Here is a 12,431-nt window from a genome sequence, read left to right on the forward strand (position 1 = left end):
TGGTATCTGAACTCAGTGAATGACTTCAAGTTAAACCCAAGGCTGCATCCATGATCCTTCCAAGTAGTGGACTTTATCATCCTTGAGTCTGGCTCATCACGAAGATGCAGTTTTGCTAAATCTAAGTACAGCTCTTATCTGCTCCAAGTCTCCCAGCTCGGTACCTGTTATCAAATGTTTTTAGGAGAGAGTCTGTTTCCTTATCTTTTCTAGCTTCTAGAATCTACATGTATTTCCTGGCTCATGGCCCCCCCTCTATTTTCAAAGCCAACAACATAGCATCTCTCTCTCTCTCCCTCCCGCCCTCCCTCTTTTTTTCTCTCCTCCACCCCTCCATCTCTCATCTTATATTTGAACACAGATGTGTACTACAGGGAGAACATCATGTGATCATGAATACAGACATCCACCAGCTAAGGAGAGAGGACTGGAACAGATCTTTCCCTCACAGCTCTCAGAAAAAAAACAACCCTGTTGACACCTTCATCTTGGACTTGGAGCCTACAGAACTGCAAGACAGAGCAAACTTCTCTTGTTCAAGCCTCTCAGTTTGTGATGCTTTCTTAACAGCCCTAACAAACTAATACAGAGAGAAACGATCCCAATTAGAGAGTGCCCTGGTACGTTTACTTTTTTAAAAAAGAACTTATCAGAAGAGTACTTTCAGGGATCATTTCTATAGTTCATTACTAGAGAAGTTTCTCTAAACATGTAGAGCATCAAAACCGCACAACTACATGCAAACTGAACAACCTGCTCCTGAATGACTACTGGGTAAATAACAAAATTAAGGCAGAAATAACCAAGTTCTTTGAAACCCATGAGAACAAAGATACAGTGTACCAGAATATCTGGAACACAGCTAAGGCAGTGTTTACAGGGAAATGTATAGCACTAAATGCCTACATCAGAAAGTGGGAAAGAAGTAAAATCAACACCCTAACATCACAGTTAAAGAAACTAGAGAAGCAAGAGCAAACGAATTCAAAACCTAGCAGAAGACAAGAAATAACTAAGATCAGAGCAGAACTGAAGGAGTTAGACACATGAAAACACCTTCAAAAAATTAATGAATCCAGGAGCTGGTTTTTTGAAAAGATTAACAAAATAGATAGACCACTAGATAGACTAATAAAGAAGAAAAGAGAGGAGAATCAAATAGACACAATAAAAAAATGATAAAGGGGATATCACCACTGATCCCACAGAAATACAAACTACCATAAGAGAATACTATAAACACCTCTACACACATAAACTAGAAAGTCTAGAAGAAATGGACAAATTCCTGGACACATACACCCTCCCAAGACTAAACAAGGAAGAAGATGAATCCCTGAATAGACCAATAACAAGTTCTGAAATTGAGGCAGTAAATCAATAGTCTACCAACCAAAAAAGCCCAGGACCAGACGGATTCACAGCCAAATTCTACCAGAGGTACAAAGAGGAGCTGATACTGTTCCTTCTGAAATTATTTCAAACAATAGAAAAAAAGGGACTCCTCCCTAACTCATTTTATGAGGCCAGCATCATCCTGATTCCAAAACCTGGCAGAGACACAACAAGAAAAGAAAATTTCAGGCCGATATCCCTGATGAACATCGATGCAAAAATCCTCAGTAAAATACTGGCAAACCGAATCCAGCAGCACATCAAAAAGCTTATCCACCATGATCAAGTCAGCTTCATCCCTGGGATGCAAGGCAGATTCAACATACACAAATCAATAAACAGAACCAATGACAAAAAATACATGATTATCTCAACAGATGCAGAAAAGGACTGATAAAATTCAAAACACCTTCATGCTAAAAACTCTCAATAAACTAGGTCTTGATGGAACATATCTCAAAATAATAAGAGCTGTTTATGACAAACCCATAGCCAATATCATACTGAATGGGCAAAAGCTGGAAGCGTTCCCTTTGAAAACTGGCACAAGACAAGGATGCCCTCTCTCACCACTGCTATTCAACATAGCATTGGAAGTTCTGGCCAGAGCAATCAAGCAAGAGAAATAAATAAAGGGCATTCAAATAGGAAGAGAGGAAGTCAGATTGTCTCTGTGTGCAGACGACATGATTGTATATTTAGAAAACCCCATCATCTCAGCCCTAAAACTCCTTAAGCTGATAAACAACTTCAACAAAGTCTCAGGATACAAAATCAATGTGTAAAAATCACAAGCACTCCTATACACCAATAATAGACAAGCAGAGAACTAAATCATGAGTGAACTCCCATTCACAATTGCTACAAAGAGAATAAAATACCTGGAATTACAACTTACAAGGGATGCGATAAGACCTCTTCAAGGAGAACTACAAACCACTGCTCAAAGAAAAAAGAGGGGACACAAACAAATGGAAAAACATTCCATGCTCATGGATAGGAAGAATCAATATTATGAAAATGGCAATACTGCCCAAAATAATTTATAGATTAAATGCTATTCTCATCAAGCTAACATTGACTTTCTTCACAGAACTAGAGAAAACTACTTTAAATTTCATACGGAATCAAAAAAGAGCCTGTGTAGCCAAGACAACTCTAAACAAAAAGAACAAAGCTGGAGGCATCATGCTACCTGCCTTCAAAATATACTACAAGTCTACCATAACCAAAACAGCATGGTTCTGGTATCAAAACAGATATATAGACCAATGGAACAGAACAGAGGCCTCAGAAATAACAGCACACATCTACAACCATCTGATCTTTGGAAAACGTGACAAGAACAAGCAATGGGGAAAGGATTCCCTATTTAATAAATGGTGCTGGGAAAACTGGCTAGCCATATGCAGAAAACTGAAACTGGACTCCTTCCTTAAACCTTATATAAAAATTAACTCAAGATGGATTAAAGACTTACATGTAAAACCTAAAACCATAAAAACCCTAAAAGAAAACCTAGGCAATATCATTCAGGACATTGGCATGGGCAAAGACTTCATGAGTAAAACACCAAAAGCAATGGCAACAAAAGCCAAAATTGACAAATGGAATCTAATTAACTAAAGAGCTTCAGCTCAGCAAAAGAAACTATTATCAGAGTGAACAGGCAACCTACAGAATGGGAGAAATTTTTTGCAATCTACCCATCCGACAAAGGGCTAATATCCAGGATCTACAGGGAACTTAAACAAATTTACAAGAAAAAAACAAACAACTCCATCAAAAAGTGGGTCAAGTATATTAGCAGACACTTCTCAAAAGAAGATATTTATGCCGCCAAAAAAAAAAAAAAATGAAAAAAAGCTCATCATCACTGGTCATTAGAGAAATGCAAATCAAAATCACAATGAGATACCATCTCAAGCCAGTTAGAATGGTGATCATTAAGAAGTCTGGAAACAACAGACGCTGGTGAGGATGCAGAGAAATAGGAACACTTTCACACTGTTGGTGGGAGTGTAAATTAGTTCAACCATTATGGAAGACAGTGTGGCGATTCCTCAAGGATCTAGAACCAGAAACACCATTTGACCCAGCAATCCCATTACTGGGTATATACCCAAAGGATTAGAAATCATTCTACTATAAAGACACATGCACATGTATGTTTATTGCTGCATTATTTACAATAGCAAAGACTTGGAACCAACCCAAATACCCATCAATGATAGACTGGATAAAGAAAATATGGCACATATACACCATGGAATACTATGCAGCCATAAAAATGAATGAGTTCATGTCCTTTGCAAGGTCATGGATGAAGCTGGAAACCATCATCCTCAGCAAACTAACACAGGAACAGAAAACCAAACACCACATGTTCTCACTCACAAGTGGGAGTTGAACAATGAGAACACAGGGGCACAGAGAGGGGAACATCACACACCGGGGCCTGTCAGGGGGTGGAGGGCAAGGAGAGGGAGAGCATTAGGAAAAATGCCCAATGCATGCAGGGCTTAAAACCGAGATGGGTTGATAGGTGCAGCAAACCACCATGGCACATGTGTACCTATGTAACAAACCTGCACATTCTGCACATGTATCACAGAAAAAAAAAAAAAGAACTTGTCAGAAAGTTCTGTGGAACCAAAAGTACTTACTATAATTGTTGGTTTGGAGAGGCAGAGGAAGTAGGAGAGGGTGCTGAGGGCATACTTTCCTAACCAATGTCATTGCCATGAAGATTTCTGAGGTCTCTGGCTCCTTCTTCCATGCCCAATTCCTTGCGCAGAGCAACTTGGAGGCAAATCATGAAGGCACTGCCTGGCCCAGCCCCTGGCCCTGGAGGAGGCACTTCCTCCTCCTCCTCTGCTTCCGTGGGGCCTTTTGGTCTCCATCATGTCAGACTTAGCACTTCCTCCAGCTCAGCATCTAACGTGGGTGATTTGCACCTTTATTATGAATTGTTTATTCTCTGGGGTATCTATGACCACAGTGTGCAAGTGATATTTCCATTCAAGGACCAAAGAAAAAAAATTTTTTTAAACTTTGTTTCCTGAGAGACACATTCCAGGCATCATAGAAGCAATGGGGGAGGGATGGGGACACAGAGAGTCATTGCAGGTAGGCTATGACCCCGGGAAGAACATCCTTCACACCTGGTAACATTTGTGAGAAGGTGTTTCCTCCAGAAAAAATTAGTTCAGGGACATTTTGCTAGTAAGAGGCCAATTATCTGTTTGAGGCCACCAACAGAATGGTTGTTTAATTTCTATAACCAAAGCTGACGTCTCATTGCATGATCAGCGATCAGTGCCTGTTATCAACAGCCGCAAAGGGTCTTACTCTAGGGCTCCGATGCCCGCTCCAGATCCCCTGAATTCTCATCTCACATGTGGCTGGTCAGCTGCAGGAGAACGAGGAGCTGACCTCCGCCCTGTGCTGCTGATGGGAATGGCATTTCCCCACCCTGTGCAGCTCTGGCAGCCTCCCTCTTACCCCTGCTATCACAGCCGCGGAGGCAGGCAGGGAGCTCGTGACAGCTGGCAAGCCAGCCTCTGGGAATAAAACATTTTAGCACTTCATAAATTTCTAACAAGGTTTCAAATTGCGGCCGTTTCCCTCCTCTCAGCTCCGTCAACTAGCAAAAGGGGTTGGGGGTGGGGGAAGAAAGACTAATTAAATCTACGGTGGGAAAGCACTGCTGGTAAGATTGCTACTTATTAAAAATCATGAACTGTTAGGACCCGATTACAAAGTAAGTTGAAATTCTCCCCATTTTCCCCATACATAAAAATATAAAACAGAGCCTTTCAATTTTATATGTATTTGGTATGTGTGTATATATATATATATTTTCAAAGGATTAAATACATATCCTTAACAGGATAGCTGATATATGACATTCTTAAACCTAAGGGAAGATGACACATAACTAACTAAAATGCTGAGAGACATTCAATATCAATACTGAACATTAACATTGAGGCTTGGTATCATTTACAAAGTAGTTATTTCACATTCTTTTCCCCTGGGAGTTTTACTGAAAGAAAATGCTTGCTAGAAGAGCATCAGATGGAGAAAACACAGCCTGGAAAGCCTCACCCAACTGACAGCTTCCAAGTTCCAAGTTTTGGTCACCATCACTAATGTTTTTAAAAAGACAAAACAACAATTCCAAAAAAAAAAAAAAAAAAACAACTTTTTTTTTTTTTTTGAGGCAGGGTCTCTTTCTGTTGTTCAGTCTGGAGTGCAGTGGTGCAATCTCAGCTCACTGCAACCTCCGCCTCCCAGGTTCAAGTGATTCTCCTGCCTCAGCTTCCCAAGTAGCTGGAATTACAGGTGCATGCCACCATGCCTAATTTTTATATTTTTAGTAAAGACGGGGTTTCACCATGTTGGCCAGGCTGATCTCGAACTCCTGACCTCAGGTGATCCACCCGCCTTGGCCTCCCAAAGTGGTGGGATTACAGGCATGAGCCACCGTGTCCAGCCAAAAAACCTTTCTTAATTTCATGGTTCTTTGTTTTAAAAGAAGGGTACTTGCTTTACAGGAAATACGTAAGCCTTATGGGTAGGGGAAATGTGGAACAGGGAACAAAAAAACTAATTCACAAAGACGTTTAATTGTCAACTAAAACATGTTAGGAGCACTGTGGGAGGGGTGTGTTTGGAAAAATAAGGGGTAAGATTTTAAATAGTTTCACTCTGAGAAAACCAGCATTCCTTTTCCTACTAGAGTAAGTAAGCAGGGTTGCCTTCTTCAGGTAGTGGGTCTCACATGAAAAAATTTCAATCTGAAATAAGGGTCGTAGAATTGGTGACGTGAGAATTGGGCAAAACTAGGGCACAGACAGATCCTGGCAGTAACTTCGGGCCCACATCACTTTGGGCAAAACACACAGACAAGCACGAAGCAGGTACAGGACAACCACCAGCTGCTGCACTGAGCATTCTCTGCGCTCCCTGCACCTTCGCCTGATGCCCATTTTCTTTTTTAGCGTGAGAAAGTTGACCTTTAGGATGACATACAAAATAAGCTTCTCCAGCTAGGATGGGAGGCAAAATGCAAAGACCATGTGTGCTATTTATGTTTGAGAATGAACCTTCCTGCAAAGTATCAGCCTGTCGTATATTTAGAACAGAGACCCCAGGGTGGGAGCATCTCATGGCAGCTCCCAATTGAATGCCAGATGCAAATGATCACTTGCTATTAATCCCAGCCTTGCTAACATTTGGTCCTGAGCATCACAGCTAATTGACGGGATGAATTACCATTTCTACGGATGGTGCCACCTGTGACATTCAGGATCTTTGAGAGGTAGAACCCGCAGTAGTTTAACATTGCCAGTTTAGTCAGTTATGATCATTGATACATGGCTCACCATTTTCTCTCTTTCTCTCTCTCCCTGTGTGTGTGTGCGTGTGTGCATGTTACATGGTTTCACTATGAGATATACAGCATTTTATTTTGTCTACATATGCAAATGTTCAGTGACAGGGACAAAAAGAAAAAAAATCAAGAATAATGAATGTGATTAAGTGGAAAACTACTTATAAAACACTCTAAAGTTGACTAATATAGGCAAACACTGTTAAAGTCGATTTTAGGGAATCATCCAGGTATTTCACATAGCATAGGCTATAACTTCATTAAAGAAAACATGGTCACCCCTGCCTGAACTGCACCCAGATTGCACCCCAGTGGCTCTGAGCCAGGACAGGTGGCCAGTCACCCCCTGCCTGAATTGCACCCAGATGGCACCCCAGTGGCTCTGAGCCAAGACAGGTGGCCTTCCCACCTGCCTCATTACCTTACGGTGACACCCCTCCCCCCACCCCCACCCTGAGGGGCTGCAGTGTGATAATTCTGGGAAGAGCTTCAGAACCTATCTGTCCTGCATGCTAATCCAAGTTTCCAAGTGATTTTATGTGCATTTTCTCATCCAGTGCTCCCAACAATTACAGCTTGTCTTTCACTAACCGAAAGCATTCTTCTCTATCCCTCCCAGTAATTCCTGCAGGGCATAACCTGTGAGGAAAAGATTAGAGATGGCTAATATTTTGGGTATAATGAACGAAGCCAGCTTCAGTTTATTTTCATTAAACACAATTCCCATTTCCAGGTGTTTGTTAGTTTTGGTGAACATCACAGGATGGCCTTTCCCCGGTAAGTGCAGCAATCCATCTGTTGTAAGGAGCACCTCTGCACTCAGACCTCCTGATGTGGAAGTGCTTCAAGGTAAAAGCAGGCTTCCCAAAGCTTGCGTTGATTGTAATTGTAGTGAAAGTTAGAAACAAAAGCCAGTAGTTACTGAGAACAGAAGTTGAGCACCAGACCTCGGATATAGCATAGGGGTATGGAAGATCTTATAGAACAAGAGGAAAAAACAAGGCATTTTCTTTGAAAAGGAAGGTGGAGGCCCAATTGAGACAGGCTGAAATTCACCCAAGAGGGGAGATTATCAAAGAGATGCATATTGAAGACGTCCTTTGATGTCAGGGTGAAGTAGTATGGTGACTAAAATATTAGAACTATCTCTAGAGGGCAGCTGGGGATGTCTGCTCCTATTAATCCACTAGAGTCTAGACCTGAAAGGCTCATGGGGGCCCTTCCCCAACCCTCTGCTCTCACTTCCCAAGGCTATAAGTGGCCATGATCTGTGCTGAATCCCCACTGCAGGGAACATTCCAGAACAAGGATTGACACTTACATCTCTGTGATACACTACTTGTTCTCTCATATTCTTGATAGTTGGTCCTGAGCCAAGTATTCTAGCAAAGATGGTGCAGCACAGAAAATTCTCAGGTTTCATTTTCCATTTAGGGAATGTGGGAGCTCTGGTCAGAGACCCACAGATGACCCCAACCTCAAAGCTGGCCAGCTGTGCTGCACCCATGGGGAGAAGGAGATGAGGCCTGCATGCTGTGGCAGACACAGGTGGGTGGAGAAGTAGATGAGGCCTGCATGCTGTGGTGGACACAGGTGGGTATTGTCAGCATCCTGCTGTCTTCACAGTGAGAGCCCTTTCAGAGAGTCCCAAATCCAAGCCAGCCTCCTTCAACCATCCCTGGAGAGGTGGATCTCATAGCATCTGCCAAGAGTCTTGTGCTTAACTGTGTATCACGACAGACTCTTTCCCTGACCAGACTTTAGGCAGGCCCCTCTCTAAGCTCTTCTCAACTAAGCCCTGACTTTGGAGCATTTTTTCTTGTCTCTGCCTTCTCCAGTTTTAGCAAGAATCCTGCTTAGTTTGGCTATCCTGGGTATCTGATCACCCTAACTATCTGATCAGGTTTCTCCTTCACCAACCCCCAGGTGGTTGTCTGATCACCCTGGTCTGTGTTCAGCAAGAGTCATGTTCAGGTGATGTAGCCAGAATGCCCCTTACCCTTGATGTCTCCTGTAAATAATATTCCATCCACTGATCCCCACCTCACTACCTGGCTATAAACTCCCATTTGTTTTTTGTATTTGGAATTGTGCCCAATCTCTCTCGCCCACTTCAAAATGCAATTGCAGGGTCTCTATGGCTCTGAATAAAGTCTGCCTTACTGCCTTATCAAAGGTCATTTTTTTTTCTTTAACAATAACACTGAACTCTTCCCCGAGGTTAAACCAAGGAACATTCTCAAAATTATATCCAATTATCTTCCTAAAAACAAAAGGGAGTTGCTGTATAACTGGTCTTCATTTCTTCCCTAGACAAAACAAAAAGTAGACTTGAACATTTCTTAAAAGACTGGTCTCCTTAAATTCTTTTAGTTTCTCTTCATTTTTATCAAAATATAAAAACCAAATTCAGAATCAGTTTCTCAACTTTTCAATATTTTCTTTCTCTATTGGCATCTCAGCATCAAAGTATTAAAGTAGTGCCGTGAGACTCACACCTCCAATGGCTAGGAAATTGGCCAGCTTAGGCACCAATACTGCACCCAAGTCTGGAACTGTAGAATACAGTGATGATCTTGTATTGACTTTGAAACTCATCTGTAAGAGTTATTCGAGTTTTTTCCATGGAAAAAGAATGCAATATTGTCAAAATTGCTGATAACGGCCAAGTCAGGGCTCACAGCCCTTACCGTCTTTCAGAACAGTTGGGGGTGTAGAAAAAGAAACTACAGCTAACACTCAGCACCTGCAAATGGCCAGGTGCAGCTCTAAACCTTATTTGTGTGAAAACTCACTTAATTGTCACAACAACCCTACAGGAGGCGAATGTTATTATGGGATCCCCATCTTCCAGATGAAAAAAACTGAGGCACAGAAAGGTTAGTTAGGCAGCCCTAACCATGTGGCTGGTAAGAAGAACAGAGCTTCAAAGCCTGAGATAGTCATAACCTAGCTAGGAAAACTTTTTAGTTGTTACTAAACAGATGCAGAGGCATATTGAAAGTAAAAGTAAAATGCAAAAACAGAAGAGGTAGAAAGGGTGCCAAGGTGAGAAGTTGGCAGTCTTTTCTTCTGGAAACTTCCAGGAGATTTAGAATGAAAGAAAGAAAGCAGCCAAGGGGATCATGGTAAACACGAGGCAGCCTGGACATGGCATAGCACCCCCAGGCTGCCGGACTCCAGGGCATGCCCAAGGGTAGCTGCAGAGTCAAACTAAACCAAGAAACAGAGTTGGGCAGTGTAAAGAGCTGTAGGCTTCACGCAGTGGGAGACAGGCCACCCAGCCCACATGAGGGACAGAAAGCCACTTAAGGGCACGAGCTTTCATTAGCATAGAACCATGCTGCCCATTTTACCAGGTATTTTCATTGAGCAGGCCATGGGCTGGGTGTCCTATAAGGCAGGCCTGGGTTCCTCTTCAGGCTGCTGTCATAACGCAGTTCTGAGCTGCAATGATTGAAACGGATGGAGGAGGGAGTATTGGGAATAAACAAGAGTGAAGGTCATCTCAAAGCACCTTTTACATTTTTCCCGAAAGGTGGAGTTTTGAAAGCAGAACCCCTTGAAAATGTGTTCTTGTGCATGCTATTCCTTCAGACTGTGAGCAATTTCTCCTCTCCGCACCTACACGGGGGAAGGCTTCCGGACCAGGTTTCTGCAAAGAGCACTTGCGTGGTTCATAAAAGCAACACCGGAACTCACTCACTCTGCCTTCTCCATCCCTCTGGGCATGGCTCATTTCCATCTTAACTGCATCTCTAAGTAAATCAAGAGCCAGCGAAAGGAAGTATGAAGATATAGTGGGGAACCTTGAACAATTCCTTTTTTACTCCCAATTACTTTAGGTAAAACTCTGAATCCAACTTGTTTTATTTGTGATGCTATTGTTACAGCCTCAAAACCTGTTTTGACTTGGAAAGGCATTCCAAATAGGTACACTGGGAACTCAACCTAAAATAGCCAGTTAATTTTACACGCACATTTTATTTTCAGGGAACGTGCGTATGTCGCATACAATGAAGAGGGGAAAATGGAGACTGGAGTTTATGATGTAATCTTTATGCGAATTTTATTATTTCATAAAATGTGAATACGTTCATGGGAAAGAGGCCATGAAACATATTCACTTTTGCTACACATGCTGATAACTTCAAAGTCAGGTGGACGGGAATTGACACAGAATTTTCATAATAAGGGCTGATAAAATGTGCTATTGTGTCAACACATACTTCTAGCTTCTGTTTTTAAATGTTTTGCTAGTAATAGGTTTAAAAAGTGATTTGTTTCTGTTTTTTTCTTTTTGAGATGGAGATTTGCTCTTTTCCCCCAGGCTGGAGTGCAATGGTGTGATCTTGGTTCATTGCTACCTCCACCTCCTGGGTGCAAGCGATTTTCCTGCCTCAGCTTCCTGAGTAGCTGGGATTACAGGCACCCGTCACCGTGCCTGGCTAATTTTTGCACTTTTAATAGAGACGGGGTTTCACCATGTTGGCCAGGCTGGTCTCGAACTCCCGACCTCAGGTGATCCACTCATCTTGGCCTCCCAAAGTGCTGGGATTATAGGCATAAGCCACTGTGCCCAGCCTGATTTAATGGTTATTGCCTATCTCTTTCCTCTCAGTTATAGGCATGTCAGACCTGTGTCCTATACCTCCTGCTGCGGGTGGCTCTGCATAGAGCTCAGGCAGTTTTAGGAACTGTCTTAGTTCCCTCAGCAGGAGCCCTGCCCATGTCCAACTGCCTGTCTTGGTTTGGTGGCCTCCCCAGCCAAATTCCCTCTTCCTCTCTGTATCATACAACCTCCCCCTTCCCAAATACAGATAACTGCCGGAATGGTGGGCATCTGCTGTGCTGTGCAACGTGGTTCCCTTTGTGGGTGTTACTCACGCAAATCACGTCCTCTCGTGGCTGCCACCATTATGGACCAGGGCCCGTAACAAATTCCATAACTTCACAGGATTTGCCTTAAGAAATAACGATTGCCATAATCGCCGCGGTGGTGGACCCTGTCCCGGAGAGCTGTCTTCTGTCAAATAAAAAGCAGCTCCTGCTGGAGGCATTGCTCACTCCCAGCAGCCCACAGTCAGTAACTGGCTGACCTAGGGGTCAAAGCATTGGCCCTATTGCCACAGGTGGATCATATCCCTGCAGGGCGCTCTGTGCGCCAGAGCCAGCCTGTGAGGTCAGACAGAGGCCAGTCCCCAGCTGAAACCACATCCCTGACTTACGCAGCTCCCCACCTAACCCTTGTTCAACCAATCCTTCATCAGTCCCTCGCACGAGAACCCCCTTCTCAGGTTCTACTTCTAGGAAACCCAGCTGTTTACATTTCTGAGGGCTGCCATAACAAACTTCCACATGTCTGGTTGCTTTAAACAATAGAAATTTGGTCCAAAATTGAGATGTAGGCAGTGTTAATTCCCATGCCTCTCTTAGCTTCTGGTATCTGCCAGCAATCTTTGGCATACTTTGGCTTGTAGACACACAACTCCAATTTCTACCTCCGTCTTCACATGGCCTTCTTCTCCCTGTGTCTTCATGTCTAAATTTCCATCTCCTCTCTCTTAGAAGGACACCAGTCCTTGGATTTAGGGCTTATAGTAAGTCCAGGCTGATCTCATCTCCAGATCCTAACTTA

At 42.9% G+C, this 12,431-nt stretch overlaps 1 protein-coding gene and 1 pseudogene across 3 annotated transcripts in view; one reads left to right on the forward strand and one right to left on the reverse strand.

The window, feature by feature from the left end:
* DSCAM (DS cell adhesion molecule) overlaps positions 1–12,431 on the reverse strand; it is an 836,160-nt gene that overhangs the window by 750,092 nt on the left and 73,637 nt on the right. The gene's annotated exons all lie outside the window — the stretch shown is intronic.
* LOC124905066 (uncharacterized) lies at positions 654–728 on the forward strand (annotated as a pseudogene).

The sequence above is a fragment of the Homo sapiens genome, chromosome 21, assembly GCF_000001405.40.
Source record: "Homo sapiens chromosome 21, GRCh38.p14 Primary Assembly".
In the NCBI taxonomy this organism is placed as follows: domain Eukaryota; kingdom Metazoa; phylum Chordata; class Mammalia; order Primates; family Hominidae; genus Homo; species Homo sapiens.